The sequence below is a fragment of the Homo sapiens genome, chromosome 9 (genome assembly GCF_000001405.40).
Source record: "Homo sapiens chromosome 9, GRCh38.p14 Primary Assembly".
In the NCBI taxonomy this organism is placed as follows: Eukaryota; Metazoa; Chordata; class Mammalia; order Primates; family Hominidae; genus Homo; species Homo sapiens.
In genome coordinates, this window is record NC_000009.12 from 71,682,471 (window position 1) to 71,701,744 (window position 19,274).

The window sequence follows — 19,274 nt, forward strand, 5'->3', positions numbered from 1 at the left end:
CAATTTAATGATTTGAGAGGACTGAGGACTAAAAACTGTATTAAAAGCTTCTATTAAAAAGAGACAATAGAGAAATGCTTTGTTTAGGGCTGGGAGTTTTGTGAGTAATATAGGAAATGCAAATAAAAATAATAGGTAAATGCAATTTTGTTTTAGTCACAAAAAAATTACAGACTGGAGTTAAACAGTGGGCCTATTATATTAGTGCCGTGGTTCCGAAACCTGGCTGCATATTAGAATCATCCAGGGAGCTTTAAAAAAAATTCCAGTGCTCAGGCTGCACCCAACACCAATTAAATCTGAATCTGGGGGGAAGGGAGTAAAGTCCAGGCCTCTATATTTTTTTTTAAAGCTCCTCAGGTAATTCCAGTGTGCAGCCAAGATGGAGAACCTCTGCCTTGGAGAATACAGTCCCTGCCCTTCTGAAGCTTACTCTTACAATATTTACTTGGTGGATTCTGTCCACCAAGTGTCTTCCTCACTTCCGTCAGTAACTTCTTTACAGCTGGAATCTGGAATTTTAAATTTATAGATAGAGATATAAATTCACATACAGGCCAGGCGCGGTGGCTCATGCCTGTAATGCTAGCACTTTGGGAGGCCAAAGCAGGAGTATCACTTGAGGTCAGGAGTTCAAGACCAGCCTGGCCAACACGGTGAAACCCCACTTCTACTAAAAATACAAAAATTAGCAGTGCATGGTGGCGGGTGCCTGTAATCCCAGCTACTTGGGAGGCTGAGGCAGGAGAATCACTTGAACCTGGGAGGTGGAGGTTGCAGCGAGCTGAGACTGCATCACCTCACTCCAGCCTGGGTGACAGAGCGAGACTCCATCTCAAAAATAATAACAATAATAATAAAATAAATAATAAATAAATTCACATACACACATATATAAAATACATGCACACATATTTTTATTTAACTTAGGCCCTGATTATTAGTATATAAAACAGAAAAACCAAGTGCCTTGGTAATTTACATATCTTCTCCAAATCTTTAAAGAACCAAGCTCTAAAAAACACACGTAAAGATATTTAAGTCATAAAACACACACACACACACACACACACACACACACTCTAATGACCTTCAGGAACCATAATCCAATAATATATTTAATAGGTAAGATCTCATTCATCAATATACAAAAAAAAAAAACAAACCAGAAAACAAAAAACTAACTTTGATTAAGACATGTGCCCTTAGTAAGGGCACTTACAATTAGAAAGGTTTATCGGTAGCACTTTGAGGTAGCATATTTTGTAAAGTCACAGGGCTGCTCTGCAGTTTCTCCTGGATACAAAGGTAGAGGCCATCAGCCTTTGCCCCTAGAAGAGGAAAGTGAAATTATCTGTACTCATTGCCAGTGTCAGCCTGAACACACTTTCTACCACCCACCCTTGGCCATCCCTCCTCTACACTTTATGCGTCGGGGGTTTAGAACAACGTAAAGGCATTTTGCTGCTTCTTTCCTCTTGGTACGGCAGCATCCCAGGCTGTGGAGCCAGTTGCCTCTTGCCGCATGTGATTCACCAGCAGGAGACGCATGCACCCTGTGGAAAGGGAAGCTGGGCATCACAGCATGCTTTTTAATTGGCTTTAACATTTCATTAAGTAAGAGTGACTCATTCCTGCAAGGCTTTAAAGAGGTTCATTTCTGAGTATTCTCTCCACGATTCTGACCCTAGAAAGCGCTCCTTTTTTTCCTCCCTGGGTGTAATCATTTTGGGGTATCATTAAGCTTTCTGGGATTTTCCTGGCAGGAGGGTGAACAGAAAAGCTTTAAAAAATCCACACAAAACAATAACAAAAAACCCAAGTGCAAGAGCAATACCAAGAACAGACTTCCTTTGTGCAAGTTAAAATGATACAAGTTTACGGTTCAGGAAAACAACCTACTTCTTAAAACAAAACAAAACAAAACAAAAAAGGAAATATTCAGTTGAGCTCTGCATTTTAAACACAAATATACAGTCAAAAGAGGCTAAGGATTAAAGCTGCAAAAATGGTCCCAACAGCCTCAGACTTTTGCTGCAGGAAAATTTTTTGCCCAATGGTCACAGATTAAAGGGATATCTAATCCCCAAGAGCCCTTTTGTCCCAATATACTTCCTGTTTGAAAGTTTAACCCTTACAAGTAATTGATATATAAGTGAATAAAAATAGCACATGTCCAGGCAAAAAAGGGCATGAGCTGGGCCTGAGTTGCCACTTAAAACTGTCATTCAATATCATAGAAAATCCTCAAAGGCTGCCCAGAAACAGGGCCCCAGGCACTGCTGAACATGCCAGCCACCAAGTCAACTGCCACCCGACCCAACTGAGCATTAAACTTCAAGTATCCAAGGTGCTACAATAGCTGGTCCTCTAAAGACCTCAGGCTGACTCTCAGAAGCCCCCACTCCACCCCACCCCATTATACAAAAAGTAAAAACATTGCTCATGGTCATTACAAAATACGGGGGTGGAAAGTGAGGAATAAGAGATCTGCTCTCTGAATACACCAGCCTTACAAATACAAACAACGTCTTTAACATTTTGTACAACTAGAAGGTGCATGAAGCTGGTATCCAAGCAATAATTTCAAACGCTTTCTTTTCTCCCCATTCTGTATCAAACTGGAAAATGGTTCCGTTGGGTTAACAGTGTCATTTTAAAATGCCATAAATTAAATAAGTTAGTTCACATTTTTTTTCCCCCAGCACTTAAGTTACAGTTAGTCTCTAATGTGCTTTTGAAGCTTGCTTTAGCAGTTCCAGGTCTCTTCTGCGGACAGTGGTGGCTCTGGGACAACCATATTCGTCCAGCTGCAAAGGTATGAATTGTTCAAGCACCCCAAGGCCCTGTCCAGCAGGACTGGTAAATAGCTTAGTCCATGATGGTTTAAAGTTTCCACTGAATCCCAAAAATATGGTACTCCCTAAAAAAAAAAAAAAAAAAGAAAAAGAAAAAAAATCAATTTTTATAGCTACATTCCAGCAAGAGAATATAGGAGGTGAGTCGGAGGTGAGCAAAACAAAGGCAGCTATTAAAAAACTCTGCACTTCCTTACATCAGCAAATGAACTCTCACCACCCACCTTTTGCCCCAGATAACAAACCACATCCCAACACACTTCCTCTCACATTGTGCCCTTATTTAGAAATCATCTTAATGATACCCACTCCAGCAAACAAGCTCATGAAAATGGTCTGGTAGCTGAATTGCACCATAAAATTACCTATGTTGCTGGCCCTGTAAGAACTTCATGAAATAATACAAATACAAACCTTTGTCATAAAGATGAGCTGGTTTGGCTAATCCCAGAGGTACTAGTAAGTGTGAAATGTTTAACTGCTTTATTTCTCCTCTTGTGCTCAACAGAACAATGGACCTGTATGTGAAATTTAGAAAGTCAGAGCCAATTTCAATCCTTCAGCATGAGTATCTTTCTACTGAGTATCTTTCTGAACTGACTGCTGAATAGAAATATTAGATAAAAGCAGAACTCCAAAAAGAAAAAAGTCTAGATGATTTTCCATCCAATTCCCACTCTTCCACCCCACCACCATGGGCTTCACACGTTGCTCTTACAAGGGGTAACGCATACATAAACCAAATCATTTACGTACGTTCACCTAGTGCAGGGCTTCCCAACCCCTGGGCCATGGATGGGTACCAGTAGATTAGGAACCAAGTTGCACAGCAGGAGGTGAGCAGGCGAGCGAAGCTTCATCTGTATTTACAGCCACCCCACAACACTTGCATTACAGCCTGAGCTCCGCCTCCTGTCAGGTCAGCTGTGGCATTCAACTCTCATAGGAGCAGAACCCTATTGGGAACTGCACATGTGAGGGATCTAGGTTGTGTGCTCCTGAGAATCTAATGCCCAATGATCTGTTGATCATCACCCCCAGATGGGACCATCTAGTTGCAGGAAAACAAGCTCAGGGCTCCCACTGACTTTACATTATGGTGAGCTGTGTAATTATTTCATTATATATTGCAATGTAATAATAATAGAAAAAAAGTGCACAGTAAATGTAATGTGCTTCAATCATCCTGAAACCATCCCCCTTCACCTCCAGTCCATGGAAAAATTATCTTCCATGAAACCAGTCCCTGATGTCAAAAAGGCTGGGGACTGCTGACCTAGTGGATGGTCTGGGGCACAGCTCTTTTAGGGAATAGTCTATTGTTGTTGTTGTTGTTTATAATTTGTATAAATTTGTGAGGCACAAGTGCAATTTCATTACATACATAGGATTGCATAGTGGTGAAGTCAGGGCACTTAGGGTATCCATCACCCAAATAATGTACACTGTGCCTATTCAGTAATTTCCTGTCATCCACCCCTCACCCTTCCTTCTCCATTGTCTATCAGGGAGTAAGTCTACTGTAACATGGGAGAATGGTTTTGTTTTGTTTCAAATACTCTATTTATTTAAGTTCTATTATCTATTTATTAAATAAATGGATAAACACAATTCTAAAAATAAATAAACGACTAAATGTGTTTTCCATGGTTTGAATTACCATTTTTGTCACATAGTAAGCCAACATACATACTTGGACCTATCTGTGGATTCTCCGTTCTTCTCTGATCTTGCTCTTCTCTGCCAAAACTATGCTGGCCTATGGCTTCACGGTCCATTTTAATATTTGATAAAAACAAGCCCTTGTATTACTGTAATTTGTTTATATTTTACTACTTTCTCATTTATTCTTCCAGATGAACTACAGTATCAACTGTCAAGTACAGTAGAAAAGTACCTTTTGGGACACTAATGGAAATGTGTCAAATTTATATTTTAACTAAGTAAATGTAATGCACTTGAATCATCCTGAAACCATCCCCCTCCACCTCCAGTCCATGGAAAAATTATCTTCCATGAAACTGGTCCATGAAATTAACATTTATTAATTTTCCATTCAGAAACAGAGTCTCTCCTTTTATTCAACTTCTGTTGCATATCCTTTAGCAATATATTTAATAATGTATTTATTTTCTGTGTGTGTGTGTGTGTGTGTGTGTGTGTGTGTACACATACAAACTCACTCTTTCAAAAACTTTAATCAGAAATGTTCTTGGCCAGCCGGGTGCAGTGGCTCATGCCTTTAATTTCAGCACTTTGGAAGGCTGAGATGAGAGGATCATTTGAGCCCAGGAGTTCAAGACCAGCCTGGGAAACACAGCAAAACTCCATCTCCACAAAAAATTAGAAAAATAATAAAATTAAAAACAAAAACAAAAACAAAAAATAACCAGCCAGGCTGGTGGTGTGCACGTGTAGTCCCAGCTACTTGGAAGGCTGAAGTAGGAGGGTCACTTGAGCCTGAGAGGTCAAGACTACATTGAGCTGTGGACACATCACTGCACTCCAGCCTGGGCAACTATTTTTGTTTTCTTTTGTTTTTTTAGAGATAGGGTCCTTGCTCTGTCACCCCAGCTGGAATGCAGTGATGCAAGTATAGTTTACTGCAGCCTCAAACTCTTGGGCTCAAGGGATCTTCCTGTCCTAGCCTCCTCAGTAGGTGAGACTACAGGTATGTGCCCACATACCCAGATAATTTTTAAATTTTTCATAGAGACAGGGTCTCATTACATTGCCCAGGCTAGTCTTGAACTCCCGGCCTCAAGCAATCGTCCCGCCATGGCCTCCCAAAGTGCTGGGATTATAGGCATGAGCCACTGTGCCTGAACTCTTGGCCGGTATTACTGAAACAAAAATTTTCAAGAACAAATCAGTGTTTAGGGGGCTCTGAGTAGCTCTTATTAATTAAAAGGTAACATTAGATTGATTTATTTTCAGAGTCATCAAGGATACCTACAGGAAGTTGAAATTTGTGTGGTATGTCTTAATGTGGGTCTCGATGGTTCTTAAGATTAAGTACCTTAAGTTTCATGCTGGTATGGGTTCTTTATGGTAGTCTTTCTTTCTTTCTTTTTTTTTTAGAGACAGAGTCGCGCTCTGTTGCTCAGGCTGGAGTTCAGTGGTACAATCTTGGCTCACTGCAAACTGCCTCCTAGGTTCAAGCAGTTCTCCTGCCTCAGCCTCCCGAGTAGCTGGGATTATAGGTGCCACCAACATGCCGGCTAGTTTTTTGTATTTTTAGTAGAGATGAGGTTTCACCATGTTGGCCAGGCTGGTCTCGAACTCCTGACCTCAGGTGATCCTCCTGCCTCAGACTCCCAAAGTGCTAGGATTACAGGTGTGAGCCACCGTGCCTGGCCTACTGTAGTCTTTCTAAAGCAGTGGTGACACAATCTAAAATTAGTGCAGCAGTCTAAGCACGGCTACCCTGCAGACCTGACCTTCTTCAATAGGTCAGAATTACCCATAAGATCATTTACAGGTCACCCCGCAACCCTATACACATAGACACGTGCTCAGTCTCCCTAGAAGTCACTGCCAGTTGCTCCATACCTTCTTAACACTTTGTTAAAATGTTACACACACACTGAATTTTTGCAAACGAAACCTATCTGCATAACCAGAGGCAGATCAAGAAACAGCATTACCAGTATCTTAAAAGCCTTTCTGTTAATGAGTTGGTTTTACCTCTTAAATCTATGGGGTACCTTGCAGGACTACCATGTTGTCCTAAATACTTGTGGTGAGATTTATGTCCTGGATTGTTTTAGGGGAAGTGAGTGCATGTATTTTCAACATTAGGAAAAATCTTTAAATCCTGCAAGAAAATTGAGGCTGTACAAGTGTCTTAAGCCAGAAGACAGAACGACATATATACATTTAATGTTACATCCAAATAATCCAGTGACTTCATAGAATTTATTGGCATCCGGTTCTATAAAGCATAAGCTATTGGAAAATGATTCTAAAGCTAGATAGGCCTTTAATTTGGGGAAAGCTTAAGTTCCTTCCTTAATGGTTCCATTAAATGAAAGCGGGTGTATAAATCAACATCTGCGGCAAAGGCAGAAAACACCCTGAGTTCATCTCCTTGCCTCCAGGCAGGGTCTCACCAACCCAGAAAAAGAAAGGTTTCTCTCCTGTGCAGCTTTCTTCAGAGACATCAAAGAAAACCAATCAGACTAGTGCTCTGTAAGAGCGATTGCACACTCAGCCACTTCAAAAATCAATTTACTCTTTTCCAGTCATTTCCAAGTGACCCAGGTGATGACTTCCTGTATCACAATCATAGTGCAATGCTGTCCAAGACCGTCAGTGCGACAGAGGGTTGCAAAGGTAAACTGCCTGGAAAATCACTTCAAAATAGTAATAAGCCTTCTGAGGGAGTTGTGGACAAAGTATATCAACTTAATACTAAAAAGTATAATGCTCTGATATTTGTTTTACGAAACTCAAAAAATAAATAAAATAAAAAGTGGGATAGTAATGTTCCAAATAATGAGCTCTTTTCCTCTGAAGAGCCTTCCCACCATTTTGCAAAATGTTGCAACATCCAAGTTCTGCCACAGGTAAGCAATGGCTTGTCAATGATAAGCAGCTTAGACGACATGGGCGTCAATCTGAGGTAGGAGAGGAATGAACACCTTGCATAGTGCCCTGAATGTCCAGAGAGTAAAAAATCGGACTTGACCAGGCATTATCAGTTTGGAGCACTCCACATCTTTAAGGTGGCTTTTCCCTGTTACAGCACAAGCTTGACCTACCTTGGAGGGATGCCTGTTTTTAAATACTCTTCAATGCGACTGACATCAGCAAGAGGAAAAACCGTTTTTTCCGTCAAGCGGAATGGAACGCTGCACGGATCCACAACAAGGAGGAGGACGCCTGCACTTCGGAAGGTAAAGTCAGTGCCATTGACCTGAGAATGCAAAAACATCTTCTGCTGTCATCATCATTTTGAGAACATCTGCAGGATGACTCATTTTTCCGGCCCTTTCCCTGTGTCTTCTAAACCCATGATTCAAAGTATATTTCCAAGATTCAAATTGTGTGCTTCACTTGCTTTTTCCTCACCATCTGAAATTGCGTCTGTGTTCCTAGGCACTGCCTATAGATTCTGCCTTGACTGATGTTTGCTGACTGGAGAACCTGCTTTGAGCAAGGCATGGTGGCCCCCACTCAGCTAAGCTGGGTGACTTCACTCTGAAGTGTTCAAGGTATTCCTTCTTACACACACTCTCACTGGGGTCAAAGCTTTATAAGTCAATGATAGATGGCTGCCTCTGTACTTCAGAGTAGATGGCTTATTGTCATATTGGTTCAGAAAAGAATACACACACACACATATAAATATGTATCATGCCTTGATCCACAGGAATTCCACGTTAGTTTATATTTGTAGTTTGCTACAAATAATAGCTCTCCTCTGAGATCAAAATGACAAAGTGATAATTTTACCGGAATTTAAGCTACAAAGTACTACTACATTTATTTCACAACTATTGTGAGCTAAATTTTCAAAGTCATCCTCTTTAAATCAGTGGTTTGTGACCTTTTCAAGAAAAAGGAACTCCAGATATTTCCAAATATCATTAATTTCTCAGCCAAAAATGAAGGAGCAAAACAAAACAACTAAGCACTAATTAAACCCATAGGCACTGTTCCTGTTTATAAGGTGTAAAATTATAAAGTATGCTAAAGGCTAACAAAGGAGAAATGTTCTTACCACTACACCTGTCCATGCCTGGGGAAATTATAATATTTAAATTTTACTTCTAATCACTTTTGATCTCACTGGTATTCAAAATGGCACTTTAAGGCCAGGTGTGGTGGCTTACGCCTGTAATCCAATCCCAGCACTTTGGGAGGTTGAGGTGGGTGAATCACCTGAGGTTAGGAGTTCATCCTGACCAACAAGGTGAAACTCCATCTCTACTTAGAGATACACCGGGCGTGGTGGTGCATGCCTGTGATCCCAGCTACTTGGGAGTGAGGCAGGAGAATCATTTGAACCCAGGAGGTGGAGGCTGCAGTGAGCGGAGATGGTGCCACTGCATTCCAGCCTGGGTGACAGAGTGAGACTCTGTCTCAGGAAAAAAAAAATAAATAAATAAAAAAGCCCTTTAGCTAATTGCACCAATCCAGTGAAAATAGTTCTGGAAGCATTTGAAGTAAATTTTATATGTGGAAAGACTAGATATGATTTCCTTATGTTTTTAAATCTCACTACTTAAAATTGAGGTACACTTAAGAAAAAAAATACCCAACAGTCCTCAACATATTCAGACTGCCCCCATGAAAAGTATCCCCAAAGCCTGTTGCTTAAAAAACCCACAATACTTTCCATGAAAACTAAAGCAAAGCAAGGTACTGTGGCCCATGCTTGTGATCTCAGCTACTTGGGAGGCTGAGGTAGAAGGGTCACCTGAGTCTAGGAGTTCAAGGTCAACCTGGGCAACATAGCAAGACACTGTCTTAAAAAAAAAGCCCCAAAGCAGCTGGGTGCAGTGGCTCATGCCTGTAATCCCAACACTCTGGGAGGCTGAGGAGGGTGGATCACCTGAGGTCAGGAGTTCAAGACCAGCCCCCTGGCCAACATGGTGAAACCCCATCTCTACTAAAAATAAAAAAATTAGCTGGGCATGGTGCCTAGCACCTGTAATCCCAGTTACTCGGGAGGCTGAGGCTGGAGAATCTCTTGAACCCAGAAGGCAGAGGTTGCAGTGAGCCAAGATCAAGCCACTGCACTTCAGCTTGGATGACAGAGCGAGACTCTATCTTAAAAAAAAAAAGAAAAAAAAAAACAACCAAAAACCCCTAATGCAATCCCAGATCTTAGGGAAGAGTTTTCAGATAATGAATGTAAAAAGCATTGGGGATAAATATGACTTTTCTAGAGTCCCAGGCACCCAGTGTGTAACAACAGAGTCAAACAATGTTTTCAGACTCTGGGGCATAGCCTGCCTGATATTTTTTTTTTTTTTTTTTTTTGGCAAAACGCTCTCCCCATCTCTCTCTCTCTCTCTCTCTACCCCCCATCTCTCTCTCTCTCTCTCTCTCTCTCTCTATTACCTAGTAAACTACTAGAACAGTGAGACTCAGCACCCACCTGCTTCCCTCATGCAACTCCCACCAGTTACCATGCTAACAGGCTGGGATCAGGTTCCTCATGCAGCTGACTGCATTCAGATGCTGAGCTAGCAAATTTCATGCCAATAAAATTACATCACGGGTGTATTACAAAATGCAGGACTGCTAAAGGAGGGGAACAAGCATAAACACAGACTTGAAGAAACTTTAACCTGGTGTGGTGGCTCACACCTGTAATCCCAGCACTTTGGAAGGCCAAGGCAGGAAGATCACTTGAGCCCAGGAGTTCAAGACTAGCCTGAGCAACACAGTGGGACTCCATCTCTATAAAAAATATTTTAAAACTTAACCAAGTGGGACTAAAGCATGTGCCTTTAGTCCCAGCTACGTGGGAGGATCAATTTAGCCTGGGAGGTGGAGGGTGCGGTGAGCCGAGATTGCGCCACTGCACTCTGGCCTGGGTGAAGAGGGAGACCCTGTCTCAAAAACAAACAAACAAACAAACGACAACAACAACAACAAAAACCAAGAGTCTTTGAGCTACAGTTACATAGGGATAGTCTTAATTCAGAGTTGGGAAGTAGAACTTAAGTTCCGGAGCTGGATGGTAGTGATGGTTGTACAACAATATGAATGGACTTCATGCCACTGAACTGCCCACTTGAGAATGGTTAAGATAGTAAAGTTTATGTGTACTTTATGACAATAAAAAAATTAAGAAAAAAAGTAAAATTTAATTTTCTCCACATATATGTGGATTTGTGATTATGTTGCCCACCACTAAAAAAACCAAGCCCCTAAAAAGACCACATGAGATGGCACAGGCCTTGGCTGAGTATTACCTGAAAGGCTGGATACCTGTCACCCAAAGAGTTCTTTGTATGGTGGCACCTAGGTCAACCTGATTTTGGACAGGCCACATGCTGAGACCTGGTTCTCAGTGGCTAACCTTGCTCTATGCGCAAATGCTAGTGTTGACACTGCAACTCATGTCTATACTTCCATCAAGCCACTTAGAAAAGACAACTAACACTTTGCATCTTCATTTTCCTCAACTGAAAAAATAGAGAAGAGGCAACCTTAAAATAAAAGGCCGAAGAGATGTTAAAACTTTCATTTCCCATATCTTAAACAATCTTGAAGCTTATTTTAAGTTTCAAAGAATAAGGTTAATGAATAAACACAATCTACTCAGGAAAAAAACATTTCTTAAATGTATTTAAAAACACAAATGTTTAGGAGTTATTTATACCTCTATTGTATTGCTTGCTACCAACAATAGAAAATGTGATGACAAACCAGTGACTATAGCCAGAAGTAATTCATGTCACCAAGATAGAAGATAAAAGCAAGAAGCTGTGACGGTGTACACATCTGCTTTGGTCTGAATGTCTGTGTCCTGCCAAATATTTCTATGTTGAAATCCTAATCTCCAAGGTAACAGTATTAGCAGGTAGAATCTTTGGGAAGTGATCAGGACACAACAGTGTAACCCCCATGAATGGGATCAGTGCTGTTATAAAAGAAGGCTGAGAGAGACCCCTGGACCGTTCTACCCTGTGAGGACGCAGTAAGAAGGCACCATCTATGAACCAGGCTCACCAGACACTCAATTTGCTGGTGCCTTGCCCTTGGACTTTCCAGCCTCCAGAACTGTGAGAAATAAATTTCTGTTGTTTATTTTTATTTATTTATTTATTTATTTATTTATTTATTTATTTTGGAGACAGAGTCTCACTCTGTTGCACAGGCTGGAGTGCAGTGGCGCGATCTCAGCTCACTGCAGTCTCCGCCTCCCGGGTTCAGGCCATTCTCCTGCCTCAGCCTCCCGAGTAGCTGGGACTACAGGCACCCACCCGCCTCTACGCCCAGCTAATTTTTTGTATTTTTAGTAGAGACAGCGTTTCACCATGTTAGCCAGGATGGTCTCGATCTAACCTTATGATCTGCCCACCTTGGCCTCCCAAAGTGCTGGGATCACAGGTGTGAGCCACCGCACCCAGCCAATTTCTGTTGTTTATAAGCTACCTAGTTTATGGCATTTTGTTATACCACCTAGAACAGACTAAGACAACACCAGATGGTACTTACAGAAATAACAGACGGGTCTCCACGCTGGGTTTCTGCTTTATCAGGTGACTGGAATTGCACAGGGAGGTAACTTTTATGAGGATCACTAGTAAACACCACCTAGACAGAGAAGAAGTTCCATATTTATGGCAACTCTTACCTTCCTCCAAAAGGTTCCCTCAATATAAAGTTAATTATAATTAAAGCCAGTGGTTGTATTTCTTATTCTGAACTTTTTGTACATATTTCATGACCTAGAATTCCATCTTGATATTCTTAACACAGTAAGTATATATTTGTTCCTCATTTTCTGGAGCAATCCCAGTTTCAAATAAATATTATTCTTGTTGTTCACTTCAGTTCCATAACTGATTAAATAAATGTGCTTTATATTTATATTTAAATCTTTGTAAACATTTTATGGAAAAACAGGCACAAATATTTTTTAAAGTTTTTTTCAGACCATGGTCCCTCAGTCACTCTAGGAATGAGGAAAGAAGTGTAGATAACAAGGACTACCCTGTTAAGAAACGTTTACTAACTTTGAACATGAGCAGGTCTCAACTCCTCTTTGTGACCTGCAAGGCATTCCATAAACAGAGTTGTGCCTTATAGACAGGCCCCTATTTTTCCCTGTGCTGTTACACTCAGGCAGGGCCTCACTTTCCCACAAGCACTCCACCCTCTTCCTTGCCACTCTGCCTTTGCTGATGCTGTTCCCTTCCCAGGAATGCCCTTCCCTTTTCCCTGTACTCCTCCAAATTACTCCCAGTCTCCAAAACCTGTCTCCTCCCTAAGGGCTCTCTTCTCATTCAAAAACACTTAACTCTCACACAATTTAACACTTAGAGGTACACTGTCCATATAAACCAATGTTAAAAACTTCCCTGCAAGAATAAACAATCAGCCGGGCATGGTAGTTCATGCCTGTAATCCCAGCGCTTTGGGGGGCTGAGATGGGTGGATCACCTTAGGTCCGGAGTTCAAGACCAGCCTGGTCAACATGGCGAACTCCAGCCTCTATTAAAAATACAAAAATCAGCCAGGCAGGTGGTACACATCTGTAGTTCCAGCTACTTGGGAGGCTGAGGCAGGAGAATTGCTTGAGCCTGGGCGATGAAGGTTGCAGTGAGCTGAGATCGTACCACTGCTCTCTAGCCTGGGCGACAGAGTGAGACTCCATCTCAAAAAAAACAAAAAACAAAAAATAAACAGTCAAAATGATCCCAAGTCGGAAGCTGGGTAGTTCTTTGAAGTCTCCAAGTTTGGGGTCAAAAATTCCTGTGAATTTTCCTATTTACTCCTAATATAAATGTGTTTGGTTTTGACAGTCAGAACAAAAATTAGGCCGGGCATGGTGGTTCACATCTGTAATCCCAACAATTTGGGAGGCCAAAGTGGGAGGATCGCTTGAGCCCAGGACTTTGAGACCAGCCTAGGCAACATAGTGAGACCCCGCCTCTATATTTAAGAAAAAAAAAATTACCCACAAATTTTCAAGTAAAAGCGATGTTCCCAGCGACTTCAACTACTTTGCAACTGCACAAAGTCAGTAATCAATACATTTTAAAAAAATGAATTCTGATCAATGCTTCATGCACAAAAGATAAAGAATGCTAAGTATGAGTGCATGGAATCATTTAACAACATAGGCCTAGAATATTTCCAATGTTAATTAAATTATTTTTATAAGTTATAATGTTTATTATAGATTATACAAAGTCTCTTCAGTATTGAAGGGTCTTAACAAATCCAGCTTGAGAATTAGGCTGGAAAATTTACTTCCCCACAAAGACTACCTCAAAATGTCACTTTAACAGTCAGATTATTATATCAGCCTGGCAAGGAATCATATAACTTTCATATACAGGGTTGTTTTTGTTGTTGTTGGTTTCTCTGGTTGGTTGATTTTTGATTTTACTTGTATGAGAGAGTAGAGGTGGCTCAGAAATATGAGAGACTAAGACTGATAGTAGAGTTGCCATTAAAAAAAAAAAAAATTGGCCAGTGCAGAGGCTTACACCTGTAATCCCAGTACTTTGGGAAGCTGAGACGGACAGATCACTTGAGGTCAGGAGTTAGAGACTGGCCTGGGCGATATGGCAAAACCCCATCTCTAGTAAAAATACAAAAATTAGCCAGGTGTGGTCACATGCACCTGTAGTCCCAGCTTCTCAGGAGGCTGAGGGAGGAGAATCCCTTGAACCCGGGAGGCAAAGTTGCAGTGAGTCGAGATCATGCCACTGCACTCCAGCCTGGGCAACAGAGAGAGACTCCATCTCAACAACAACAACAAAAAGCAAAACAAAACAAAAAAAGACTTATACATTCTAGTGGGAAACATAAATCCACCTCTTTCTTCCTGGTCTTACTGCCATGAATGGATATAAATAATGAAAAAAAAAAGAGAGAGAAATATGGAACTTACTAGTGGAAGTAATTTTGTTTTCTTAAATCACTTAGAATAGGAAGAAATGAAAAGAAAGATTTAGTTTTCTCCATATTAATAGGCAGTATGCATATTTGTGGTAATTATTGCTTTTTAAAAAAAATTATCAGTGGAACTCAAATGTGAACATGTATCAGAATCAGCTGCAGGGCTGGTTAAAATAGATTGCCAGGCCGCAGCCCCACAGTTGCTGACTCAGTAGGATGAGGGTTGGGCCCAAGAATTCCCATTTTCCACAAGTTTCCAGGGGATCCTGATGCTGCTGGTCTGGGGGTCACACTTTGAGAACCATTTCCCTTAGCCCATATTTGTTTGTGTGAAATATAAATCAGGGCAGCTCCATCCTTTGTTTTTTCACTTGGAATTATCTGATTTCCTTTGGAACTCCTTCTGTATGCCCAATTTTAGTTCATATTTTGGGTTCACTTTCATTGCAGTGCTTTCTTGAGATCCAGTAGGCGGCCATCTAATCAAGAATGTTAGAAGAAGCATTTGCATTTCGAACCAAAGTCAGTCGGTACTTTTTTTTTAAATAAAAATGATAAAGTGATGTGATAGTCTGTACTTTAATTACAGATAGATATAATAGCATATGCTTCAAAAATAAGAGCGGATTTCCACCTTATAAAAAGGAAACAATTTTCATATTAGCTGTATTTTTGAAAAGAAATTTCACACTGTGCCAACAAAACAAAGTATCTTTTTTACATCACTGGCATGTAAATCCAACAGTCATATTGCAACAGAATCAAACATCTGAGAAAGAAAAAAAATGAGGACCAACATAGCAACCTCTAATTTTAAACTGTGGAAAATCTGCAGTTGTTCAAGGTAAACTGACGTATCACAGGGGCAAGTATCTCTGTCATAAATTTGAACTAGTTTGCTTCTTACGCGCTTCACATTTTAGCATGGGCCAAAATTCAGGAGATGCCATGCAATGTCCATAAATGGGCAATATAGATGTTTCAAAGAAAAGTGCTCCTATTGCAAAGAAACCCTCTGACTTTTTCTCCTTGGCCACAGACCACTTTTCATCCTTGTTTACCTGCCGAGTGCCACAGCCTTGACAGAGTCCAGTGAGCATGGCCGGCATCCGCTTGACCACTGACGGCTTTCTGTAGTACTGTGGGTATGCTTTGGCCATGCAGTTACTGATGTCCTTTGAGTCTGTGGCTGCTTGGATCTTGACTCTTTCACATCCCTGAGATGAACAGTAACTGTGGCCATGCCTGTGGCTTTTGGCTTTGAGATACAAAAACAGTAACCTGCACAAAACAGAAACCAATCCATGTAGTTAGACTTATTCTCAAAAACTTACAAAATTCCTCAAATCAGCTCATGGCCAAAAGGGATATTCCTCCAATTAGTAACTTTTCCTTAAAACATAAATTACAAAATGAATAGTTATTTCTGTTTTCTTTCTATCCTTCAAGGGTCCTAAGTCAAATGCAGTAACACTTTAGGAAATATGTCATACCCTGCTTCCATTGTTGTGGAACATATCAAAGCTGATTTCTGGTTTGAATTAGTTCGATAGGTAATTTGGGGGGATGAAATTTGGTTTGGCTCAAAAATTCCTTGGAACACTTTATACATAATGTGTTGAGTTTAGGATTTGGTAAATTAGTGTGGTTCATTCTTTTTGTTGTTCTCATTCATAAATCATTTTGGTTAAGGCATAAAACTGAAATAATAAAAACAGGAACTGTGACTTCTTTGGCTAAGGCCAAGATAAAGTCTCAAATCAATTCCTGTGATATTTATGAAGAGCAGATGGACCTGGGTTCCTTCGGTCTATATTAGGGCCAAAACCAGGCAAAATGAACAGTCCATCCCACCCATTCTGAATTATCTTCCCACTGCCAAGATGAATGAAAAAGTCTAACTTCCAGGTAGCAGTTCAATCTCTATCAGCAAACCCAGTCCTTCCAAACCAAAGGAAGTCAAGATTCTAAAAAAACTTGATCAAGTGTGATTGATTACTAGAAATGAAGAATTCACATTTTAATGAGGTCAATAAACAGTACAAAGTTGAGATTATGAGGTATAAATCAGCTCAAATGGCACACTGAGTATCTCTAGGACTGAGAGCATTAAAAAAAAAAAAAAAAAGGCAAAACCCGCAATTCGCAATTACTTTTGCACCAATCTAATAAAAAGAATTAGGACCTCAGGATTCTTGAAATACCCAGATCAGAAAGTATTTTCCATCTTTTTACACTTTTAATCATTAACTTGTCACCAGACTATCCTTCCAAATGTGGATATTCTTTTTATTCTTGTGGAAAATCAAGTGGGAATCTGGAAGTTCTATCATCTACAGAATGAAAGTCCAGGTAGTTGTTTAAGTCTAAACAAAAATTGAAAATCAATGCTGGGTGTGGTGGCAGCAGCTACTTGTGAGGCTGAGGTGGGAGGATCACTTGAGCCCAGGAGATCAAGGCTGTAGTGTACCACAACTATGCCTGTGAACTGCACTCCAGCCTGGGCAACATAGGGATACACCGTCTCTTAAAAAAAAAAAAAGAAAGAAAGAAAGAAAAAGAAAGAAAAATTAAAAATTGGAGACAATTATGACAATAAAACTTTTAAGCTGATAACACTGGCTGGTGGGGGACTGGGAGGGCAAATGAGTTGCATCTTATTTAAAGGCTAACCAGGCACTTAACAACTGAGCCCCGACTTCATTCCCCAAGTCAATCTCGCCACCCTTCTCCCCACTCTGAACTTCTTGCCTTTCCCCAAACACGCAATGCCATGTTCTACCATGCCCCCATGCATTTGTGCACACTGTCTCTTCTGTGTAAGACATCTCACCCACTTCTTTTTCCATCTCCTCCTAAGTGTTTCTCAAGAATTAGCTCCAGGATCACCCTCTCAGGATGTCACTGGTTACTCTAGGCTGAACTTCTGAGGCAATCCAAAAGCCACATTGAATATAGAACCGAGAGCATTCAACCTTTCCTTCTCTAATGACTTGATTTACATGCCCACATTCCTCAATGGACGGTGAGTTTGCAGAAGAAATGCATCTTCTTTCCATTGGTATCTTTATAGTGCATAGACAATGGCATATAGGAGGAATGTCTGCGTGAGGAGAAAGGCTGAAGGAACACGCTACCTGCTGGAAGAGTACAGGAGATGGAGCCTACCATAGCCCACAGGCTGAGAGACTGTAACTGGGTAAAAGCAGTCAAAACCAACAGGACCCCAGAAGAACAGGATTGGAATTAAAAAGTGGAAAGATGCAGCCTAGAGAAAGTTGAAAGCAAATATTCCACAGTTACACAGTGATTTTCAAAAACTCAAGGTCAACTTGTAAGATAGCCTAAGTCAGGAAGAGAAAAATGAGCTTTCACTGAAATATGAACTATATCACATGTAAATAATCATATGAAGAACATTATTATGGGAAAAAATTATTGTAATTTCCAACTGGGCCTACTGATTCTTCATCGACAAGGGATAATTTCTTTCTCTAAATTGCCTCAATACGTATACAGCAAACATCTTCACTCGATCCCTACTGCCAACTATAATTACGAGCCATTCTAGTTCCCCTCTAAACCTCTAATAGAGAAGATGTGCAGAGAATTACCCACATCAGCTGCTTCACTAAACAGCCGCGATGCTGAAGAACTAGCAATTTCACCATTAAAGAAAAATAGGAATAATTCTCATTCCCTGGTTTCACTGAATTACCCCGTGCTGGAGTCAAAATAGAATTTCCTCTCGGATTGCTTTCTTTGCAGTTCTTCCAGTGAATGCACAGGCTCATATTCTTCGATTTTGGATAATGAGCCATTCTGCCGCTGCAAATAGCCAAAGGTAACTTGAAAACTTGTGTTTGATGGATAGCAAAGGCCAACTCGAATCCAGTCATTCCTTTAAAGGAGAAACATAAAAAAATTAGTTTACACTTCAGCCATTATCTGTTAAGTACTATAGCGTATGCAGATAACTGTCCTTCATGTGCCACTTCTTCCACTTCCTGCCCATAGTTTTCTCCTCCTTAAATTTCTTCTGTGTGTTGGGCCACTGACAGTGGAAGTTCTGAACCATGGCATACTAACAAATCACCCACCTTCATCTGTTGCTCAAATTTCTCATATCAATAGATATACAGCAAAAATATGAGCCTTTACAATTTTTTTTGTTTTTGTTTTTTTGTTGTTGTTGTTTTTGAGATGGAGTCTTGCTCTTTCACTCAGGCTGGAGTGCAGTGGCGCGATCTCAGCTCACTGTGACCTCCGCCTCCCAGGTTCAAGCAATTGTCCTGCCTCAGCCTCTCGAGTAGCTGGGATTACAGGGGCACAACACCATGCACGGCTAATTTTTGTACTTTTAGTAGAGACAGGGTTTCACCATGTTGGCCAGGCCGGTCTCGAACTCCTGACCTCAAGTGATCCGCCCACCTCAGCCTCCCAGAGTGCTGGGATTACAGGCGTGAGCCACCGTGTCCAGCCCTAAAAATTCTTAGTTTTAAGAGGATTTGAAAGAACATTAAAAAGTTGGATAAAACAGACTTAGACACTCTAAAAAGATAAGAAAATTAAGTGAGATGGTTGGGTATAGGTGTACAAGATAGAAACACTAATATATGGAGAGTGGAACTGTACATTGGCAAAAGCATTCTAAATAATTTTTTTGTTTATAATTTTACCTTTTATAAATGTATTAGGATGAGTTCCTAGTGGGAAAATTGCTGTATGTAAAGGTATATGCCTTTTTAAAGCTTTTGATGCATATCACTAAATGGCCCTAGGATTTTCTTAGTGTCCTTAAATATAAAATTAATCCTTTTT

The 19,274-nt window shown here is 40.6% G+C and overlaps 1 protein-coding gene across 6 annotated transcripts in view, besides 1 other annotated feature; it reads right to left on the reverse strand.

Moving 5' to 3' along the window:
- The window catches only part of CEMIP2 (cell migration inducing hyaluronidase 2), an 86,101-nt gene continuing 67,722 nt past the window's right edge, over positions 896-19,274 (reverse strand). For all 6 annotated transcript variants that reach the window (XM_047423136.1, XM_005251869.5, NM_001135820.2 and 3 more), the window contains 6 exons: positions 18,172-18,354; positions 15,515-15,734; positions 12,039-12,137; positions 7,622-7,776; positions 3,273-3,376; positions 896-2,923 (listed from right to left, as the gene is read on the reverse strand). In XM_047423136.1, coding sequence (XP_047279092.1) covers positions 2,727-2,923; positions 3,273-3,376; positions 7,622-7,776; positions 12,039-12,137; positions 15,515-15,734; positions 18,172-18,354 — 958 coding nt within the window. In that variant the 3' untranslated portion in view covers positions 896-2,726. The remainder of the gene's footprint in view (positions 2,924-3,272; positions 3,377-7,621; positions 7,777-12,038; positions 12,138-15,514; positions 15,735-18,171; positions 18,355-19,274) is intronic.
- Positions 7,505-8,704: an enhancer, noted in NCBI's record as "CDK7 strongly-dependent group 2 enhancer chr9:74304891-74306090 (GRCh37/hg19 assembly coordinates)". NCBI's record gives its function as "activates an origin of replication core promoter dependent on BRD2, BRD4, P300/CBP, MED14 and CDK7 cofactors, with strong dependence on CDK7, by STARR-seq in HCT116 cells {active_cell/tissue: HCT116}" and the evidence as "EXISTENCE:reporter gene assay evidence [ECO:0000049][PMID:35650434]".